The sequence below is a fragment of the Homo sapiens genome, chromosome 9, assembly GCF_000001405.40.
Source record: "Homo sapiens chromosome 9, GRCh38.p14 Primary Assembly".
NCBI classification, from domain to species: Eukaryota; Metazoa; Chordata; class Mammalia; order Primates; family Hominidae; genus Homo; species Homo sapiens.
Genome location: NC_000009.12, coordinates 72,532,827 through 72,555,627, shown reverse-complemented (window position 1 = coordinate 72,555,627; position 22,801 = coordinate 72,532,827). Strand labels below are relative to the sequence as shown.

At 42.4% G+C, this 22,801-nt stretch overlaps 1 protein-coding gene across 1 annotated transcript in view, besides 1 other annotated feature; it reads right to left on the bottom strand.

Annotated features, from left to right (window-relative positions):
• Positions 1-22,801, bottom strand: part of TMC1 (transmembrane channel like 1) — a 316,690-nt gene that overhangs the window by 282,670 nt on the left and 11,219 nt on the right. The gene's annotated exons all lie outside the window — the stretch shown is intronic.
• Positions 3,458-3,958: an enhancer, noted in NCBI's record as "H3K27ac hESC enhancer chr9:75166586-75167086 (GRCh37/hg19 assembly coordinates)". NCBI's record gives its function as "activates a minimal SCP1, AML or CMV promoter by ChIP-STARR-seq in primed H9 embryonic stem cells {active_cell/tissue: H9 hESC(primed)}" and the evidence as "EXISTENCE:reporter gene assay evidence [ECO:0000049][PMID:30033119]".

Genomic DNA, 22,801 nt, shown 5'->3' with positions numbered 1-22,801 from the left:
GTTAAGTCCAGAGGCAAAAGGACCCAAGGAAGCAGTTACTAACATATTCCACTTATTCGCATGGGATTTCTCCTACCATCCACATCATCTGGGTGTGGTGAAAACAAATGAGATAATATCACAAAGAAATCTGTGAGTATGGGCCGGGCGCAGTATCTCACGCCTGTAATCCCAGCACTTTGGGAGGCCAAGGAGGGAGGGTCACGAGGTCAAGAGATCAAGACCATCCTGGCTAACACAGTGAAATCCCATCTCTACTAAAATACACAAAATTATTAGCTAGGCACGGTGGTAGTCCCATCTACTTGGGAGGCTGAGGCAGGAGAATCACTTGAACCCGGGAGATGGAGGTTGCTGTGAGCGGAGAACGTGCAATTGCACTCCAGCCTGGGTGACAAGAGCAAAACTCTGTCTCAAAAAAAAAAAAAAAAAAACAGAATCAAAACTCAGAATTCAGGTCAGGTGCTTTGGCTGTAACTCCAGCACTTTGGGAGGCCGAGGCGGGTGGATCACTTGAGGTCAGAAATTTGATACTACCCTGTCCAACATGGTGAAACCCCTTCTCTACTGAAAATACAAAAGTTAGCCAGGCATGGTGGCACATGCCTGTAATCCCAGCTACTCAGAAGACTGAGGCAGGAGAATCACTTGAACCTGGGCAGCAGAGATTGCAGTGAGCTGAGATTGTGCCATCGCACTTTGGCCTGGGCAGCAGAGTGAGACTCCATCTCAAAAAATAATAATAATAATAATTTCAGAATTCAAAAATATTTAGGAATAAAGGAGCTGAGTAAATTTCAGGAATTTTCTACATTCTTTACTCTCTGGAGACTTTAACTGTCTTTATAGAATATGGAATGTTAGAAAGTAAGAAAGCCCCTTATAAATCACACGATCCAACCCCCTTATTTTACAGATGAGAAAGTGGCATCCACAAAGTCAGATACCAAAGTCCTTTAAGCTTGTGAATGAATGGTTGAAACCAGCTTCCCTGACTTTCACTGCTGAAACTATTCTGTCATGTCCCATTGCTTCTCAGTGCACTGTTACTCTATTACTCTCCTCTAAAATACAAAGGTCAAGCTAGAAACCAGGAAGAGAGAGTAAAATGCTAAGATCAAGATATCACCAAGAAAAAAACACATAGTTTTGCCCTGGTATTTCCAGCGTTCTGTCTTTTGACGAGAAATAACCACTCCTGTTAAAAGTATGCAAATATGTAACTGGAAAGAATTCAGGTCCACATGGTCAACATTTTAAAACCTTGGCTAACTTGGACCTTAGCCCTCTGGAATGCTCAGTAAGCTGGAACAACGCTGGATCTAGAAGTAGCCTGGGGCAAAAATTTAAGGAAAAAATGTTTAACTTGAAAAGTATTTCAGTGGGAAAGAATTGCCCTTAATTATTCAGCAATAAACGATCACAGCTAAGAAAAGCTAAAGACCAAACAGAAGACAACACCCAATAGAATAAATCCGTCAGTGCTTCTGACTGGGGAAAAAAAAGGCACTAATGCTTATAAAAATACCAAGATTTTGAAGAATATGAAGTCAAGAGTGTGTATGCTATCAATCATGAAGAAATATTGTTAGATGCTTTGTGCTCTGTTTGAGAAAGTGGAGCAATTGTGAGTGAATTTATTAAAGGATTTTCATTGGTATAAGTTAAAAGGAATAGTCAGGCATAAAATTCAGCTGGTTTGAAAACTGAATGTGTTTTCAGATATAATAGTCGTAGGGAGACGCCAGTACTTAGGCAGTTTCAAGAAAAATGCCTGGAAAGGATAAATTGAGAAAGGATGAATTGAGATGGCTCCATATAGAACTGGTGGCATGATCTCTAATCATTATGTGTCTAGGACCCCAGAAATCCAATTACTTTTAAGACAAAATTCTAAATGATGATAGCCATAGTAGTTTTTATACATTGATTTGTCCACTTCTCACCTGTTAATACAGAAGAGATAAATTTAAAATAAGCCTTTAAAATGTCCAAGCTAGGAGAAAAAAAAATCAGCAAAAGTACAGGCAAACTCTGATAAAATATGAGCATACTACTACAGTATAATTCTGCTTTCTCTTCTGTGTCATGCTTTGCTTTATTCCTTTTTGGTTCTTCCAAAATCTAGCAGTAGAGAAGAGTAGAACAGCTACAACTGGGTTACCTCACAAATAATTCAGTCTCTTTTTAAATAGAGTAAAAGTTAAGGAGATATTTAACTTTACATTCAGTTTTCTTCATCTGGAGATGGTTAAAATGGCAAATAATAATAATAATAACAACATGGAAACTGATATGTGAATATACTTTGTATCTTTGATCTTTATACTTACATTTAAAAATATACAGAATTGGAGCCAGGCTTGGTGACTCACGCCTATAATCCCAGCACTTTGTGAAGCAGAGGCCGGTGGATCACCTGAGGTTGGGAGTTCGAGACCAGCCTGACCAACATGGAGAAACCCCGTCTCTACTAAAAATACAAAATTAGCCCAGCATGGTGGCACATGCCTGTAATCCCAGCTACTCAGGAGGCTGAGGTAGGAGAATCACTTGAACCTGGGAGGCAGAGGTTGCTGTGACCCGAGATCATGCCGTTGCACTCCAGCCTGGGCAACAAGAGGGAAACTCCATCTCAAAAAAAAAATTATATATATAATTGAATGCTACACAGCACATTCTTCGTAATTCTGAGAATCGTGTGTATATATGTATATTTAATATGGACATTTAAAAATAAATATCATATATAGAAAGAAGATAAAGAGCATTGAAATCTTTGAACTTGATCCCTCTTTTAATATGATAAATAGATCAGCCATTAAATCCGAACAGAAACAATCACAATATGCAAACATCTAGTTATTATTATACCTTGGGACAAACAACACAAGTGGTCAGCTGGTTGGTTTCACAAATAGCAAGTAATCCCAGGTAACTATCATCTCCTTGCCTCTGAAGTACTCTCTGGTTCTTTAATTAAAATTTTAGCTAATCCTAATCTGATTAATGCAAACACTGCTTTTCCAAGTATCTTGTGATCCATGTTCACAAAGTTGTGCTGTAACCAGAGTGTCCTGACAAAGTCCAAGGTGCAAATAAGCATCTGTGATGTGTCCCCCAAATACAACAGTGTTTGCAGCCCACTCCACCCCCACTTCAGGCAATAAGCAGCTCAGAAGGTTAGTCGGTCTCCAGACTCCTCTATCCACCCTCCCTCTTAGTTTTCCACAGGTCTTTAATGCTTACAAGTCTCTTCTGGGGGGGATTCCTTCACAGCTTGGACCTTTCCTAGTCAGGGAGTGACAGCAGGGGGAAGAGACAAGTGCAATTCTGTCCAAAGCACAGAATCCTTGTAGCAGCTCATCTTCAGGAGTTCATTTGTTCTGTGGAAGAGCTCCCAAGTAAATAGGCCAAGATCACTGGGACCTTTCAATCTCCTCTTCCCTGGCAGAAATTTGGGTTATTATGGACCAGGACCCTTCCTCACCAGTGTGATCAAATCCCTCTGGCAGAAGACACAAGGTCACTGTGTTAGTTTAAGGGCTACTGTAATAAATTACCACATGGTGGGTGTCTTAAAACAACACAAATCTGTTCTCTCAGAGTTCTGGATGCTAGACCTCTGAAACTAAGGTGTCAGCAGGGCCATACTCTCTGAGAGGCTCTCAGAGACAATCTGTGCCATGCCTTTTTCTTAGTTTCTGATATTGCCGGCAATATTTGACATTCCTTGGCTTGTAAACACATCACTCTAATCTCTGCCATCATCACACGGTCTTTTCCCTATGTGTCTATGTCTCTTCTCCTCTTCTTATGAGGATGCCGGCCATATTGGATCAGAGCCCACCCTAGTCCGGTATGACCTCATTTTAATTTGATTACATCTGTAAACATCCTAATTACAAATAAGGGAACATTTACAGGTCCTGGAGACTAGGACTTTAGTCTGTCTTTAGGAAGGACTCAATTCAACCCTCAAGAGCTACTTAATGTTTGAGATGGCTCAAAACAATGGCTACAAGGGGATAAAGCTTGGAAGACTTCAGCCAAGCTCTCCTCAAAGGTCTGGCTGAGAAAAGCAGTGGAGGAGCCTGAATCCCCCACACCATCTGCTTCCACGATTCTGGCAACTCAACAGGGGGAAGGAGATTTCCCAGCAACATGCTAAATCATGGGCTCATAGTGCCCTTACCAGGCCCAAGCTCAGAGCATAGGGGTGCTTTGTTTTGCTTTGTTTCTGTATTTTTTGTTTGTTTGTTTGCTTTCCCTATAAGATCTTTTGTTTTAGATAAACGGCTAGGGCAGATGGATCCCAGGGCCCACTATATAAGTTTCCTATTGCTGTAACAAATTACCAAAAATGTAGTGGTTTACAATAACACTAATGTATTGTCTTACAGTTTTTGGAAGTCAGAAGTTCAAAATCAATCTCATCGGACTAAAATCAGTGTGTCAGAAGGACCACCCTTCTTTTATAACCTCTACAGGGCCAATTATTTTCTTGTCTTTTCCAATTTAAGGTCACTTGCATTCCTTCACTCTCAGCCCCTTCCTCCATCTTCAAAGCCAGCAACAATATAGCATTTCTTTCACCACAGAATTTATAGGAAACAATATTGCATCTGTAAATCTGACTGATCTCAACTCCCATCATTCCATCTCCTTTGGCTTTTCTGCTTCCCTCTTTTCTTTCTAGGGACCCCTGTGATTACATTAAACCCACACAGATAATCCAGGATAATCTCTCTAACTCATGATTCTAAATTTAGTCACACTTGAAAAATTCCTTTTGCCCCATAAGGCAATCTAGCTATAGGTTCCAGGGAATAGGATGGGGAATAGGACCTGAACATCTTGGGAGAGGGAAGAAGTAATTATTCTGCCTACCACACCCACCAGCCTTTTTACCCCCTATTTCAATTTCCCAGGACTGGAACAACCATACTTTTTTTTTTTTTTTTTTTTTTGAGATGGAGTCTCCCTCTGTCGCCCAGGCTGGAGTGCAGTGGCGCCATCTCAGCTCACTGCAAGCTCCGCCTCCTGGGTTCACGCCATTCTCCTGCCTCAGCCTCCCGTGTAGCTGGGATTACAGGCGCCCGCCAGCTTGCCCTGCTAATTTTTTGTATTTTTAGTAGAAACGGGGTTTTACCATGTTGGCCAGGCTGGTCTCGCTCTGTCACCTAGGCTAGAGTGCAGTGGCACGATATGGGCTCTGCAACCTCTGCTTCCTGGGTTCCTTGAAGCAATTCTCCTGCCTCAGCCTCCCAAGTAGCTGGGATTACAGGCGCCTGACCACGCCCAGCTAATTTTTGTATTTTTAGTAGAGACAGGGTTTCACCATTTTGGCCAGGCTGGTCTCCAACTCCTGACCTCAAATGATCCGCCTGCCTCGGCTTCCCAAAGTGCTGGGATTACAGGCAGGAGCCACCACGCCTGGCCTGGAGCAACCATGCTTTTAAATCCTCAAATTACAAAAAAGTCCTGCTTCACCTTTGTGTCAGGATATCAGGGCAATTTGTCCTGCATTCTCTTAGTGAATTCAGGTTGATATTCTACCTCCATTTAAAATGTAATATGAGCTGGGCACAGTGGCTCACGCCTGTAATCCTAGCACTTTGGGAAGCCGAGGTAGGTGGATGGCCTGAGGTCCGGAGCTCGAGACCAGCCTGGCCAACATGGTAAAACCCCATCTCCACCAAAAACACAAAAATTAGGCCGGGCTCGGTGGCTCACATCTGTAATCCCAGCACTTCGGGAGGCCAAGGTGGGTGGATCACGAGGTCAGGAGTTCGAGACCAACCTGGCCAACATAATGAAACCCCATCTCTGTTAAAAAATATACAAAAATCAGCCGGGCATGGTGGCACATGCCTGTAGTCCCAGCTACTCAGGAGGCTGAGGCAGGAGAATCACTTGAACCCAGGAGGTGGAGGTTGCAGTGAGCCAAGATCATGCCACTGCAATCCAGCTCGGGCAACAGAGTGAGACTTCGTCTCAAAAAAAAAAAAAAAAAAAATAGCCAGATGTGGTGGTACGTGCCTGTAATCCTAGCTACTCAGGAGGCTGAAGTAAGAGAATTGCTTGAAACTGGGAGGCGGAGGTTGCACTGAGTGGAGATCGCGCCAATGCACTCCAGCCTGGGTGACAGAGTGAGACTCAGTCTCAAAAAAGAAAAAAAAAACACATAAAATTTAATATGGCTAGACTTACTAAAGAGCAGAAAACATTGTTGGACATGGTGGTTCATGCCTGTAATCCCAGCACTTTGGGAGGCCAAGGCAGGAGGATCCACTTGAACCCTGGAGTTCAAGGCCAGCCTGGGCAACATAGTGAAACTCCATTCTCACACACACACAAAAAAATTAATGAATAAAGAACAGAAAGCACCATTAAATTATTTAATGAAATATAATGTCTGATGATTACCTTTGATAGGAATACATGAGTGTACAATAACAGGTCTTGCAAGCACTTGTAGTAAATAATAAAACCCAGAAGAGAGGTTTGTAAATAAAGTTACTAATTTGAAATGTTGATCTCTGAAGATTTATTGTTTCTTATAAAGTATTCTAAAATTCTTCTTCACTTATTTATTCCACAAATATTTATTTCATGTCCACTATGTGCCAGCTACTGTGCAAGGCGTTAGAAATATAGGTGGATAGAGGGGATGTAGTTTCTTCTCTCATGAGCTTGCTCTCGTGGGCATGTGTGTACCCAGAGCTGGAGCAGCACATCGTCTTTAGAAAAATTAAAAGCAGTAATAAAATTGACAAAAATGAGTGGTTTTATTTTTATTTTTTTAGAGATGGGATCTCACTATGTTGCCCAGGTTGGTCTCCAACTCCTGGGCTCAAGCAATCCTCCTGCCTCGCCCTCTCAAAGTTCTGGGATTACAGGCGTGAGCCACTGCAGCACGACAAGTCTGCTTTTTGACATGCACTGTCAATTGTAGACAATCAGTGATAAAAAATACAACTCCCGGAAAAGAAAACATATCTTGTTGGCTTAAATTCTAAACAATTGCAGTTACTGTAGACTTTTTTTTTTTTTTTTTTAAGACAGAGTCTCACTCTGTCACCCAGGCTGAAGTGCAGTGGCGTGATCTTGAATGAACCTCCCGGGTTCATTGAAGCAGTTCTCCTGCCTCAGCCTCCCAAGTAGCTGGGATTACAGGCGTGCGCCTGACCATGCCCAATTAATTTTTGTATTTTTAGTAGAGATGGAATTTTACCATCTTGGCCAGGCTGATCTTGAAACTCCTGGCCTCGTGATCCACCCCACCTTGGCCTCCCAAAGTGCTGGGATTACAGGCATGAGCCACTGTGCCCAGCCCTATAGACTTTTAATAATAATAAATACACTATAAATTAACACATTTCTTTTTACTTATCCTTTAATAAATACTGTATTCTACATGTAAGTTAATTTGAAGAATTCCAATTTATCAATCAGTTCCCAACACATACAGACTCAGTGCTATGGATTGAATGTTTGTGTACCCCCAAAATTCCTGTGTTGAAGGCTAAATCTCCAAGTGATGGTATTTGGAGATGAAGCCTTTTGGTTGCGAAGGTAGAGTGCTCATAAATAGGATTAATGTTCTTCTAAGAACAGACACAAGAGATGGTCTGTTCTCTGCTCTCTGCCATGTGAGGATAGAACAAGAAGACGGCCATCTGCAAACCAGTAAGAGGAACCTCAGCAGATACCAGATCTTGGACTTCCCAGCCTCCAGAACTGTGAGAAATAAATGTTTACTGTGAAGCATTCCAGTTTATTGATATTCTGTTAAAGCATCCCGAGTGGACTAATACGCTTAGCTATACACATTTGTTTCTAGGTTCATGGGGGGTATAGAATAGTTTCTGTTCATTTCAGGCTCTGTTCCTATCTCCAAGTCTTTGGTTCTTTTTCTGAGCACTTAGTCTTCCCAGTGGTTTATACCCTGATCAAATGTAAAGTCCTTAAGTATGTTCATTTTGAGAACAGCAAATTTGAAAGAAAGGAGTCATTCCTGGGTGTCTTTCTATTTCTAGGATAAACACTCCTGAACTCACATAATAGTCACCATATGACTGAATTGTGATATGCTGGACATGAACCTCTATCATGACCAAGGACATGGCAATGCTGAAACTATGGCCAAGACTGACTGTAGTGTTCAGGTAAAAGTCAAAGAAATTTATCCTAAATCCTCATTTGTGCTTGTGCAAATCAATCTCCAAACTCCACTGTTTTGGAAATGTTTCTTCATGTATGATTTTTTTTTAGGGGGGTTGAGGGGAACTTGGAAAATTTTTATTTCATCTTTTTAACCATTTTTTTTTTTTTTTTTGAGAAGGAGTCTCGCTCTGTTGCCCAGGCTGGAGTGCAGTGACACAATCTCGGCTCACTGCAACCTCCGCCTCCCAGGTTTAAACCACTCTCCTGCCTCATCCTCCTGAGTAGCTGGGATTACAGGCGCACGCCAACGCACCCAGCTGATTTTTGTATTTTCAGTAGAGACGAGGTTTCACCATGTTGGCCAGGCTGGTCTCAAACTCCTGACCTCAGGTGATCCACTTGCCTTGGCCTCCCAAGGTGCTGGGATTACGGGCATGAGCCATCGCGCCTGGCCTTTTTATCAATTTTAAAAAAGATTCACGGATGGACCATGCTGAAGATTGTAAGTATAACAATGAAAAGGCTTTCCCACACACAACAAAGTATTCATTTTGAAGCTATGCACACAGTAAAGTTTAAGAAATGAGTACCAACTTTTGAAGTATTATGCTATCTAAAACAAAATGTAGACACAAGAAAATCAGTAGATTTTTCTCTCTGCTGAGGCTATTTATCTTTTCTGGGTTAACTTTTTTCCTGGAGTGAAGTCTTAGATGAACTTAATCAGACACAAACTTCCAAAGAGATAGAAACAGCTTTGAAAAATGTGCATGCTTTAAAATTCTGTGTTCAGTCTTTAAAATTTTGTGTGCAGGTTTTAAAATTTTTTCTTGAAGATCAGTGCAGAGAACTGGTGGAAAGGCCAACAAATATTTAATCACAAGTATAAGGAAATGGCCATTTACATCTTTTTCAAAGCAAATTTTGAAGAAAACAGCCAGCAGCAATAACAAAATATGCTGGTCTGACGTTACCGGAAGAAAACAAAAGGACAATGTTTGAATCCCTCAATCACTTCAATCAAGAACTGAGTACTTGCTCTAAAGCAAAGAATTAAATAATGTCAATGTTTTCAATCATTCAGTGGTTTTTTCTAACTTTTTGCAGAAGAAGAAAATTTCAGCAGTTTTTCCAAATGTAACATCAATTTATTTATTTTTATATTTTTTGAGGAGTCTCCCTCTGTTGCCCAGGCTGGATTACAGTGTTATGATCTCGACTCACTGCAACCTCCGCCTTCTGCATTCAAGCGATTCTCCTGTCTCAGCCTCTCAAGTAGCTGGGATTACAGACATGCACCACCACGCCGGGCTAATTTTTTCATTTTTTTTTTTTTTTAGTAGAGCTGGGGTGTCACCATGTTGGCCATGCTGGTCTTGAACTCCTGACCTCAGGTGATCCATCCACCTCGGCCTCCCAAAGTGGTGGGATTACAGTTGTGAGCCACTGCACCCAGTCTGTACCATCAATTTATGATTAATTTTCTAGTGAAGGTTTGTTTTTTTTTTGAGCGATGACATTTGAACTTTTTTGAGCGATGACATTTGAAAGCCACTATAATTGATCTGAAAGAAGCGAAGGTATTGTCAATTTTAAAATTTGTGAAAATTACTGCGCAATAGGATTTGTATTTCACCAACCATATCCTTTTGTTTAAGATTTTTTTATGGAGACCGGGTGTGGTGGCTCACGCCTGTAATCCCAGCACTCTGGGAGTTCGAGGGAGCCAGATCACTTGAGGTCAGGCATTCGAGACCAGCCTGGCGAACATGGTGAAACCCTATCTCTACTAAAAATTCAAAACTTAGCTGGGCATGGTGGCAGGTGCCTCTAATCCCAGCTACTCGGGAGGCTGAGGCATGAGAATCACTTGAACCCAGGAGGCAGAGGTTGCAGTGAGCCAAGATGGCACCACTGCACTCCATCCTGGGCAACAGAGTGAGACTGTGCCAAAAACAAAAAGTTGACAAATCTGGTTAAACTGTCTATTGAAGCTGATTATTTTTAAAAAGATCAGTTTTAATGAAATCATTGACCAGTTTGCCAAAGTTAAGTCATTAAAACAGAAACTATAATATTGTTATACATTATTGTGACAGACCAATATATATGTAAAAGGTTTTTTTTTAAAAAAAACATATTAATGTAATTACAAAGTATTAATTCTGAAGCATAAGAAGAAGTCAGCCATTCAAAGGGCAGGGCTACAAATGCCCATCAATCAATGAGTGGATAAAGAAATGTGACATATATATATATGTGTATATATACACATATAAATGTGTGTGTGTATATATGTGTGTGTGTGTGTGTGTGTGTGTATATATATATCATGAAATACTACTCAGCCATAAAAAGGAACATATTAATGGCATTCACAGCAACCTGGGTGGAATTGGAGACTCAGGAATGGAAAACCAAATATTGTATGTTCTCACTCGTAAGTGGGAGCTAAGCTACGAGAATGCAAAGGCATAAGAATGATACAATGAACTTTGGGAACTCAGGGAAAGACTTGGGGGGGTGAAGGATAAAAAGCTACACATTGGGTAGAGTGTACGCTGCTCAGGTGATGGGTGTGCTAAAATCTCAGAAATCACAACTAAAGAACTTTTCACGTAACCAAAAACTACCTGTTCCCCAAAAACCTATTGAAATTAAAAAAAAAAAAGGTAAAAAGGCTGGGAGCGCTGGCTCATGCCTGTAATCCCAGCACTTTGGGAGGCCGAGGTGGGAGGATCACCTGAGGTCAGGAGTTCAAGATCAGCCTGGCCAACACGGCAAAACCCCATTTCTACTAAAAATACAAAAATTAGCCGGGTGTGGTGGCAGGTGCCTGTAATCCCAGTTACTCAGGACGCTGAGTCAGGAGACTCACTTGAACCCAGGAGGTGGAGGTTGCAGTGAGCCGAGATTGCACCACTGCACTCCAGCCTGGAAAACAAGAGCAAGACTTTCTCACAAAAAAAAAAAAAAAAAAGTTAAAAAATCAACAACAAAGGGAAGGGCTAAGATCAGTCCACCTGGAAGAAGCAGCAAGCTCAAAGACCTTGAGTTAGGAAAGAATGTGGGGTGTTTGAAGAATTAAGATGAGACAAACATGGCTTGAGTGAAGTGGATATACCTTGAGGGGCCTGGTCATATGACACCTTATAGGCTCTGGACATGAATTTAAACTTTATGTTAAGCACAAAAAGAAACTATTGAAGTGGCTGGGTGCAGTGGCTCACACCTGTAATCCCAGCACTTTGGGAGGCCGAGGCGGGTGGATCACAAGCTCAGCTGTTCGAGACCAGCCTGACCAACATGGTGAAACCCATTTCTACTAAAAATACAAAAAATTATTGAGGTGTGGTGGCACATGCTGTAGTCCCAGCTACTTGGAAGACTGAGGCAGAAGAATCACTTTAACCCGGGAGGCAGAGGTTGCAGTGAGCCAAGATCACGCCACTGCACTCCAGCCTGGGTGAAAGAACGAGACTCCATCTCAAAAAAAAAAAAAAAAAGAAAGAAAGAAAAAGAAAAAGAAACTATTGAAGCATTTTAGGAAGGAAAGTCACTGGGTGTGGTGGCACATGCCTGTATTCCCAGCTACTTGGGAGGCTAAGATGAGAGGATCTCTTGAGCCCACGAATTAGAGACCAGTCTGGGCAACACAGAGAGACCCTTCTCTTAAAAAATTTAAAAGTTAAAAAATAAAAAAAGATTAAGCAGGACAGTGGTGTGATCAAACTTTATATATATATGGCCTCCCAGGTTCAAGCAGTTCTGCCTCAGCCTCCCAAGTAGCTGGGATTACAGGCACCCACCACCATGCCCAGCTAATTTTTGTATTTTTAGTAGAGACAGAGTTTCACCATGTTGGCCAGGCTGATCTCAAACTCCTGACCTCAGGTGATCCTCCCACCTTGGCCTCCCAAAGTGCTGGGATTACAGGCGTGAGCCACTGTGCCTGGCTCAAACTTACATTTTTAAAAGATAATTCTGGCTGCATTGCAGAAAATTGATCAGAGGGGAGTCAGAGTGAAAATATGAAGACCAATAAGAAGGTTATTCCAATAATCTATAAGGGAAGTGGTTGTAGCTCTGGACAGACTAGTAGCAGGGGAGATGGGAAGAAGTACATAGACCTGAGATGCAGGAGATAGATCTGGGAACTAAATTTAAGGAAGAACAGATAGGATTTGCTCATGGGGTAGATGGAAGAAGTAAACAAGGAAGAGGAACCAAGGAAAAGTTCCCAATTTCTGGCTTAAACAATTAGTGGATGGTGAGGTCACTAGTTGAGATGGGAGAGAAACTAGTTGAATGAGAAAAATCACTGTGTCAAGGCTCAAAGGCAACCTTACAAGATGAAATGTAAACATAAAGATAAAATGTAACATGACACCTTCTTTTTTTAAAAAAAATTATCACATAGAAAAAAACAAGTGAAGGTCTAGTGCATATTTTCATTTTACACATTAGAAAACTGAGGCCTAGCTGGGTGCGGTGGCTCATATCTGTAATCCCAGCACTTTGGGAGGCCAAGGTGGGTGGATCATGAGGTCAGGAGTTCGAGACCAGCCTGGCCAAGATAGTGAAACCCCCATCTCTACTAAAAGTACAAAAATTAGCTGGGCGCGGTGGCAGGCACCTGTAATCCCACCTACTCGGGAGGCTGAGGCAGAAGAATTGCTTGAACCCGGGCGGCAGAGGTTGCAGTGAGCTGAAATCATGCCATTGCACTCCAGCCTGGGCAATAGAATGAGACTCTGTCTCAAAAAAAAACAAAGGAAGAAAGCTGAGGCCTGAACAGTAAAGATGACTTGCTCAATGAGTCAGTGCCTGGATCAGAATTCTTTTTTTTCTTTTTCTCCCCCCTAGGCTGGAGCGCAGTGGCACAATGTCAGCTCACTGCAACCTCTGCCTCCCGGGTTCAAGTGATTCTCCCACCTCAGGCTCAGGAGCAGCTGAGATTACAGGTGTGTGCCACCACACCCAGTTAATTGTTTATTTTGAGACAGAGTCTTGCTCTGTCGCCCAGGCTGGAGTGCAGTGGCGCTACCTCAGCTCACTGCAACCTCCACCTCCTAGGTTGAAGTGATTCTCCTGCCTCACCCTCCAAGTAGCTGGGACTTCAGGCACATGCCACCACACCCGGCTAATTTGTGTATTTTTAGCAGAGACGGGGTTTCACCATGTTAGCCAGGATGGTCTCCATCTCCTGACCTCAGGTGATCCTCCCACCTCAGCCTCCCAAAGTACTGGAATTACAGGCACGAGCCACCGCGCCGGGCCCTTTTTTGTGTGTATTTAGTAGACATGGGGTTTCAACAAGTTGGCCAGGTTAGTTTCAAACTTCTGGCCTCAAGTGATCCACCCACCTCGGCCTCCCAAAGTACTGGGATTACAGATGTGAACCACCACGCCCGGCCTCTTAGGTCAAATTCTTTGGCTCTAGTATTGCAAATACCTCACCCAGATTTTTTATTTTTGGTTTTTTGTGTTTTTTTGTTTTTGTTTTTTAACAATCCTTTCTCTTACATCCTCTTTCAGTTTTTCAGCTATGTGTGCTAATAGAGCTTATGACCTCACTTCTTCCTAAGGGCACAGACTGATACCAAGAAGTTTCTTCCTGACTTCAGATCTTTCAGTCTAGTCATACCTTGTTTCTGAGAAGTACATAAAATGCCGTTGATCTGGAAATTTTCATCTATCAAGCTTCCTCTTCTAAAGCCAATACCCCCAAGACCACCCTGGAAAGCTTCTAGGCTCTTTTTTTTTTTTTGAGATGGAGTTTTGCTTTTATTGCCCAGGCTGGAGTGCAATGGTGTGATCTTGGCTCACTGCAACCTCCACCTCCTGGGTTCAAGAGATTCTCCTGTCTCAGCCTCCTGAGTAGCTGGGATTACAGGTGCATGCCACCATGCCCGGCTAATTTTTGTATTTTTAGTACAGACGGGGTTTCATCATATTTGTCAGGCTGGTCTCGAACTCCTGACCTCAGGTGATCGGCCCGCCTCAGCCTCCCAAAGTGCTCGGATTATAGGCATGAGCCATCGCACCCAGCCGCTTCTAGGCTCTTTAAGTTATTCAAACAATTCATTCAGACAAATACTTATTCAGTATCTACTGTTCTGTATGGTTTGAATAACTCAAAAGTATGAGATTTGATTCTTGGCACCAACAAGTCTTAAGTTTGGTTGGAGAAGTTAAGACATAGATGTAAGAATTGATTAAGTGATAACACTGGTTGGTGTAAAGATTTGGCATCAAAATAGGTGGCTAGCACTGTAAGAGCTATGACATTTCAGAAAAGGTAACCATCCATGTGGGCAAGAGAAATCAAAGATTATGGGGCTAGAGATGGAAACTGAAGAACAATTTGGCATTGAGAAAAAGGAAAGGAGGGTAGATTTAAATTTGACCTGGAAAAAACAATTCAGTTCAGGACCTGGCCACATCCAAAACAAAAGTCAGAAGTTTTAATAAAGCTGGGTAGTATTGATGATTGGATTTAATGGAGGCAGATAACTAATCATTATATCTGTATTAACTCACTGAAGCTTCACAACATCCCTATGAGGAGGTACTATTGTAGCTCCATTTTATGTATAAGAAAATAAGGACACAGAGTGGTCATTTAATTTGCCTTAGTCACACAGCCAGCATGTTGTCATGCTGAGTTTCAAGTTCAGCTACGGGGCCTGTGCTCTTAACCACTACAGCATGTGGCCACTTGCATGAGCTCTCCTGGTTTGTAATAGTCAAAGGGTGGGGCATCAAAATGACCACAGCAAGGTTCTGGGAATCATGACTAGGGACAAAAATAAATGACTACCAACACGCGACGCAGAGACAGATTGCAAAGACAAACAGGCATAAGAGCCAACTTCAAAACAGTAAGGACAAGGATAAAGATCGGAAAGGAATAGTGCCAGGTTTGGAGAGGAGGTGGAATTAAAAGAAAAAAAAGTCAGAACGAGGAAAGTCAAAGATGAGGAATTTCCCTGAGGTAAATTCCTGGCAGAAAGCTGGTCTGTCTGCCCCTGATTTTACTACCCATGTGGCTATCTCTGCCATTGTACCTTAGGGAAGTCATGCAAGCCTCAACAGAAGAATAAATGGAATAAAATTTGATAGTACAGGCTGAGCATGACTGCTTAGAGTACACCAAGAACTCACCTTCCTACCCCCCATTTCCTGGGATAAAGAACAAATATTAGAAAACAACAAGAAACAAGGTGCTGTACTTTGGATGTTCGCCCTCCCAAACTTCATGTTGAAATTTGATCCCAATGTTGGAGGTGGGGCCTAGTGAGATGTGTGTGTTATGTGGGTGGATCCCTCATGAATAGATTAATGACCTCCCTGGCAGGGGTGGGAGTGAGCGAGTTCTCAATCTGTTAGTTCCCTCAAAAGCCTGTACCTCTGTTAAAAAGACCATGGTACCTTCCCCTCCTCTCACGCTCTTCCTCTCTCGCCATGTGATCTCTGCACATGGAGGCTCCCCTTCACTTTCTGCCATGAATGGAAGCTTCCTTGCCTTCACCAAAAGCAAATCCTGGCACCATGCTTCTTGTACAGGCTTGCAGAACTGTGAGCCAAATAAACCCCTTTCTTTGTAAATGACCCATCCTCCGGTATTCGTTTAAAGCAATGCAAAATGGACAAAGTCAGAATACTGGTACCAAGTAGTGAAATGTTGCTGTAAAGACAACTGAAAATGTGGAAGCAACTTTGGAACAGGGCATTGGACAGAGGTTGGAAGAACCTGGAGGGCTCAGAAGAAGACAGGCAGATGAGGGAAAGTTTGGAACTTCTTAGAGATTAGTTAAGTGGTTTTGACCAAAATGCTGATAGAAATATAGATAGTAAAGGCAAGGCTGAGCAGGTCTCAGAAGGAAATGAGAAACTTACTGGGAACTAGAGCAAAGGGTTCCATGTTATGCTTTAGAAAAAAAAACTTGGCTGTGTTGTGTCCATGCCCTATGGATTTGTGGAAGGCTGCAGTTAAGAGTGATGACCTAGGATATCTGGCGGAAATTTTGTTTTGTTTTGTTTTGTTTTTGAGACAGGATCTTGCTCTGTCACTCAGGCTGGAATGCAGTGGCACGATCTAGGATCATTGAAACCTCCATCTCCTAGGCTGAGGTCATTCTCCCACCTCAGCCTCCCGAGTAACTGGGACTACAAGCACATGCCACCACACCTGGCTGATTTGTTTTTTTGTTGTTGTTTTTTTTTTGTATTTTTTGTAGAGATGGGGTTTTGCCATGTTGCCCAGGCTGGTCTCAAACTCCTGAGCCCAATTGATCTGCCCACCTCAGCCTTCCAAAGTGCCTGCCTCTCACAGGCATGAGTCACCATGCCCAGCAGCAGAAGAAATTTCTAAGCAACACAGCATTCAAGAAGTGGCGTGGCTGCTGGAAATCAAAATTAAAATTCAAACTCCCCCAATCAACTGAATGGACCCCTTGGTCAAGGAGATCCCAAAGAAACCTGAAAAACTAGCTCATGCCATAGCAAGATGAGAGGGTACCCAACATGCCTTATTACACCCTCCCCCTTTGGAGTTTAGACACAAATGACCAGCATTAACATTAAAACAGAGATCATATGACTGACAAGACAGACTCTTTGTAGCAATAAGATACCAAATTTGAACCCGACTCTGATATAGCATCACATGACATAGCAAGACCTAAAGGAAATAAAAGTATTTTATTGTCCAGGTGTGGTGGCTCATGCCTGTAATCCCAGTAATCCCAGCACTTTGGGAGGCCAAGGCAGGCAGATCACTTGAGGTCAAGAGTTCAAGACCAGCCTGGCCAACATGGTGAAACCCCATCTCTACTAAAAATACAAAAAAATTAGCCAGGCATGGTGGTGGACACCTGTAATCCCAGCTACATAGGAGGCTGATGCAGGAGAATCGCTTGAGCTGGGGAGACGGAGGTTACAGTGAGCCGAGATCGTGCCACTGCACTCCAGCCTGGATGACAGAGCAAGGCTCTGTCTCAAAAATACGATACAATACAATACAATACAATACAATACAATACAATACAATACAATACAAGTATTTTATCCCAAAATATATTTATTTGACATTTTGAAAAGGCCCTGCAATGTTGTCTCTTGTGGAGGAAGTTAGTGTTCTGTAGAGAATCTCTCCCTTACCAAGTTTTTTCCAGAGAGTCTGACACCTTTTAAGTTCTAATAAGAGACATTCATCATCTATTCACTCTGAAGCCTGCTACCTGGAGGCTTCATCCACATGACAAGAACCTTGACTTTCACTTTTTTTTTTTTTTTTTTCAGACAGGGTCTGGCTCTGTCACCCAGGCTGGAATGCAATGGTGCAATCTCAGCTCACTGCAACCTCTGCCTCCTGGGCTCAAGTAATCCTCCTGCCCCAGTCTCTCGAGTAGCAAGGACTACAGGTGTGCTCCACCATGCCCATCTAATTTTTTTATTTTTTGGAAAGACAGGGTCTCATCATGTTGCCCAGGCTGATCTCAAACAGATTGCCCAGGTGGCAATCTGACCACCTCAGCCTCCTAAAAGTGCTAGGATTACAGGCATGAGCCACAGTGCCCAGCCAACCTCTTTATCTTAACTCAAGCTGACTTCAACTGTTCAGGCAGAGCTTAACTCATTCAACCATTGCCAATCAGGAAATTTTTGAATATACCTATGACCTGGAAGCCCCCACTTGTAGATGTCTTGCCTTTCTGGGCCAAACCAATGTATACCTTGCATGTATTGATTTATGTTTTTGTCTGTAACTTCTGTCTCCCTAAAATGTATAAAACCAAGCTACACAAAACTACCTTGGGCACATGTTCTCAGGACTTCCTGAGGCTGTGTCATGGGCCATGGTCCTTAACCATCGCAAAATAAACCCTTACATTGATTGAGACCTGTCTCAGATACTTTTTGGTTTACACTGCTTTTAATTGTAAATATGATTGTAAACTAGATATGGCAGCAAATGAGTGACCTAAAGTTGTAAATTGTAACTAAAAACCAAGTAAAGCATAAAAATTTGGAAGATTTACAGCCTGGCCCTGTGGTAGATGAAGAAAGAGTGTTTTCAGGAGAGGAATTCAAGGATGCAGCCAAACACTTGCTAGAGAGATATTAGCATGACTAAGTGGGAGCTAGGTTCTAATAGCCAAGACTTTGGAAAAAAAAGGCCCCAAAGGCATTTCAGAAACCTTTGAGGCTGCTCCTCCCATCACAAGCCTAGAGGCCTAGGAGGACAAAATAATTTTGCAGGACAAGCCTGGGGTACCACTGCCCTGTGCTGCCTCAGGATGCTGCTGTCTGCATCCTGGCCACTCTGGCTCCATCCATGGCTCCAATGGCCCCAGGTACTGTTTGAGCCACTGCTTAGGTGGGTGTAAGTGGTAAGCCTTGGTGGCTTCATGGTGTGAAATCTGCAGGTGCCCATAATGCAAGAATGTTGGAGGCTTGGCAGCTTCCACCTAGATTTCAGAGGATTTATTGGAACACCTGGGAAGGCAGGCAGAAGTCTGCCATAGGGTCAGATCAACCACACACAGCCTCTACTTGGGCATTATCTATTGGAGGTGTGGGAGCAGGGCTACCACCCTCCAGACCCCAGAATTATAGAGCCACCAGCAACATACAACTGCAGCCTGAAAAAGGCACAGGCATTGGGCTTCAATCTGTGAGAGCAGTCACGTGGGCTGCACCCAGCAAAGCCAAAGAGTGGGGCTGCCTAAGGCCTTAGGACCCACCCCTCACACTACTATGCCCAGGATGTGGTATATGGAATCAAAGGAAATTATTTTGGAGTTTTAAGAATTAATGTCTGGCCAGGCGCGGTGGCTCACGTCTGTAATCCCAGCACTTTGGGAGGCTGAGGCAGGCGGATCACGAGGTCAGGAGATCAAGACCATCCTGGCTAACACAGTGAAACCCCGTCTCTACTAAAAATACAAAAAATTAGCCAGGCATGGTGGCAGCTGCCTGTAGTCCCAGCTACTCAGGAGGCTGAGGCAGGAGAATGGCGTGATCCCAGGAGGCAGAGCTTGCAGTGAGCCGAGATCGCACCACTGCACTCCAGCCTGGGTGACGGAGCGAGACTCTGCCTCAAAAAAAAGAATGTCTGCCGCACTGGGTTTCAGACTTGGATGGGACCTGTTACCACTTTCTTTTGGCCAGTTTCTCCCTTAGGGAAATGGGAATGTTTACTCAATGCCTGTACAACCATTGTATCATGGAAGAATATAATTCATTTTTTATTTTTGCAAGCTCACAGCTGTAAAGAAGTTGCCTTGAGTCGCAGGTGATACTTTGGACTTTGGACTTTTGAGTTTATGCTGGAACAAGTTAAGACTTTTAGGGACTATTAGGAAGAAATGATTGTATTTGAATGTGAGAAGGACATAAGTTTTAGGGGGCCAAAGCAGAATGCTATAGTTTGGATGTTTGTCCCCCCTTCAAACCTCATGTTGAAATTTTATCCCAATGTTGGAGGTGGGGCCTAATGAGAGGTATTTTGGTCATGGGGGAGAATCATTCACGAATAAATTAATGCCCTCCCTGTAGAAAGAGTCAGTGAGTTCTCACTGTATTAGTTCCCATGAGAAGTGGTTGTTAAAAAGAGCCTGGCACCTCTCCACACCTCCCTTGCTGCCTCCCTTGCCCTATGATTTCCACACATGAAGGCTCCGCTTACTCTTCTGCCATGAATAGAAGCAGCCTAAGGCTTTTACCAAATGCCCAATCTTCCAGCAAGCAGAATTGTGAGCCAAATCAACCTCTTTTCTTATTAAACTATCTAGTCTCAGTCTTCCTTTATAGCAACACAAACACACTAGAACACAAAGCTGACTAGATATGTCAGATTGTGGAACACCAAAACTCAGGATGAGTGGCTGCAATTTAATCTCAGAGGTAAAATGGAGCCACTGAAAGTTCTTGAGGAGGAAGTGAGGCAACAAAATTGACAAATCACATATCCTCCCCTGATATGGTTTATAGGTTGGATTAGAAGGAAAAGAGCAAGGTTATATGCAGCTAAATTTAAATGCAATCAAGGGAAGAGGACATGTAGGTCAGGATCAAGAGGATTCAAGAAGATAGTTAAAACAATGATAGAAATACAAGTTTTCGGGAGAAATCCAAACTTTCAAGGATGACTTCTAGCAGCTCTGGGAGAGTTTCCTCCTGCAATCCTAATAGTTTAGAAGACATCGGGGTACTTTGTAACATGCTAAACAAAATGCTGAAAAGATGAGTCCCTTGGAACAGAGGTGAACTGGGTAACTTTAGGTAGACTCATAGTTTCCCCTGAAAACATGCCTTCATCCATGATAAATATAGCGTTAAGCAGCATCCTACATGATTCATATAACTGTAACACACCCAACTAGCTTTTTTTTTTTCTCTCTCTCTAAGAGATCCATGAATCGACTGCCTTTGTGTAAGAATCAGGACTTTTTGCAAGCATCAACTTAGATAATAGATATATTTGAAGTAAGAGTAGTGATCATGAAAATAAACTGTTTCTACTCTGGTATAAAAAGTAGTCTTTTTATTTGCCTTTATCTTTGAATACTCTAAATCTTTATAACAGGCTGCCAACTACATTATTGGGTTTTGGACTTCTTAATTTCTTAACCAGTATTTGCAGGGATACCTTTTTTCAGCATTTAGAATGAAAACCTAAATGCATCGTTAAAATATCTTTATAATCTTGTGATTTCAGTTCTGTTTCTTCATCAGTTGATTAAGAAAGTTAAACTGGACATTCTCACAGGAACTAAATATATAGAATTCCATTAACCTTTTCATTAACGTTTTTCTAATGATAGCCTTTGAAATATCTGGGATTTTTCTATACATGCCAAAATAATATATAGATTCAGATACCAAATACAAATTTTAGAAGTTATATAATCTACATGTGTGTTAGCTTTTAACCAATCATAATTTATTCATGAACACAATTGAAAGAATTTTCCAGAATGTTCATAAATATAACAAATAGCTTTCTTTGGTGGAGCCCTTTTAGAATGTCTGTTCAGCACCTCCCTCCACCTCCCCACCACTTTTTCTGTAAACTGCTGTCCATCTACATAATTAAAGGTTGGATCCTAATGTGATATTTCTGTTTCATGGCCCTACCCCACAACCATAGTCAGTTGAGCCAGGGAAAGCATCAGACCTAGGAATTGAGAATTGGAGAAGAGAGAGAACAAGAGACAGCTGTCCCTCTCCAAATTGCTGACACTTAATGTTGGGAAATTTTTAAAATTGTCTTTATTTATTTTTATTGTTTATTTTACTTATTTATTCATTTATTTCGAGACAGATTCTCACTCTGTTACCCAGGCTGGAGTGCAGTGACACAATCTCAGCTCACTGCAACCTCTGCCTCCCAGGTTTAAGCGATTCTCCTGCCTCAGCCTCCCAAGTAGCTGAGATTACAGGCGTGCACCATCACACCCGGCTAATTTTTGTATTTGCAATAGAGATGGAGTTTCACCATGATGGCCAGGCTGGTCTTAAAGTCCTGGCCTCAAGTGATCCACCTCCCTCGGCCTCCCAAAGTGCTGGGATTACAAGCGTGAGTCACTGCACCTGGCCAGAAATTGTATTTTTAAAATTTGTATATGAAAAGTAGAAAAACCTAGTCCACAGAGAGAAAAGAGAGAGAGGAAGGGAGAGAGAGAAACGCATGAAACCAATTACACAAAGGAGCAGAAGTGTTTAAGTCTTTGGTCCAGTTTGTTCTGATGCTTAGCTGTTTTTCTACCTTAGATTGTATGAGAGTGCCTGTATCCTTATCATAAATTATCTTTGTTTTCATAAGCTATCTCAAATAAGTTTCCAGCCTGAGTTTGTCTCTCCAGAACAGTAACTCACATGACAAGTCATGCAAGGTTGTGTGGACTGCATCTCCTTTAGATTTATTGGATTGGCTAGGTGTACTTAACCACAACTCTGGTGGTTGCTGGGAGACACCTCTGGGAGAGTATGGTCAGGGGAAAATCAGGAAGAGAAGCAGTAGTCTTTGCTTAAAGCAACAACTCGCACCAGTGGATTGCTGGGTCATACCCTCTTTTCCTTTAATTTATCCTCCAGTCTTTGGAGCAGAGAAAAGTAAATCATGCTGGCTGCCCAGAGTTTCTTCTAGAGCCAGGGATCGCACCTTGGGTTTCTCCAGATCTCCAAGCCTTTATCACTTTATGCATTATAAGGTGTGAGGGTTCTCTGGATGAATATATTCCACAAAAAGGGGCTCAGTGTCCCATAGGCAAAGCAAGAAGAGAGGGCACTTCAGCTGATCCTGGCCACTGTCTCACAAGTATTTCCCCTCCAAGGCCAGGGAAGAGTCAGGCCTTACTACAGAATGTAGCTTCTTCTGCAAAACACAGCACCTCCTTCTCCCTTAGCCCCAGCTCCTACATGTATGCTAAGCCATCATTTTATGGCAGATTAAGGGATGAGCCAGTTTGTCACTGAAACAGGATCCTCTACTCCAAGTAGCCTGAGCCTGGTGGACTGACTCCCTTTTAGCAATTCAGAGCCATAAGGTCATTAAAAATAGTTTGCTTTGCCTTTCCCCTGTTAGGCATTCCTCAAACACTTGGAAAATTTAGTCTCATCA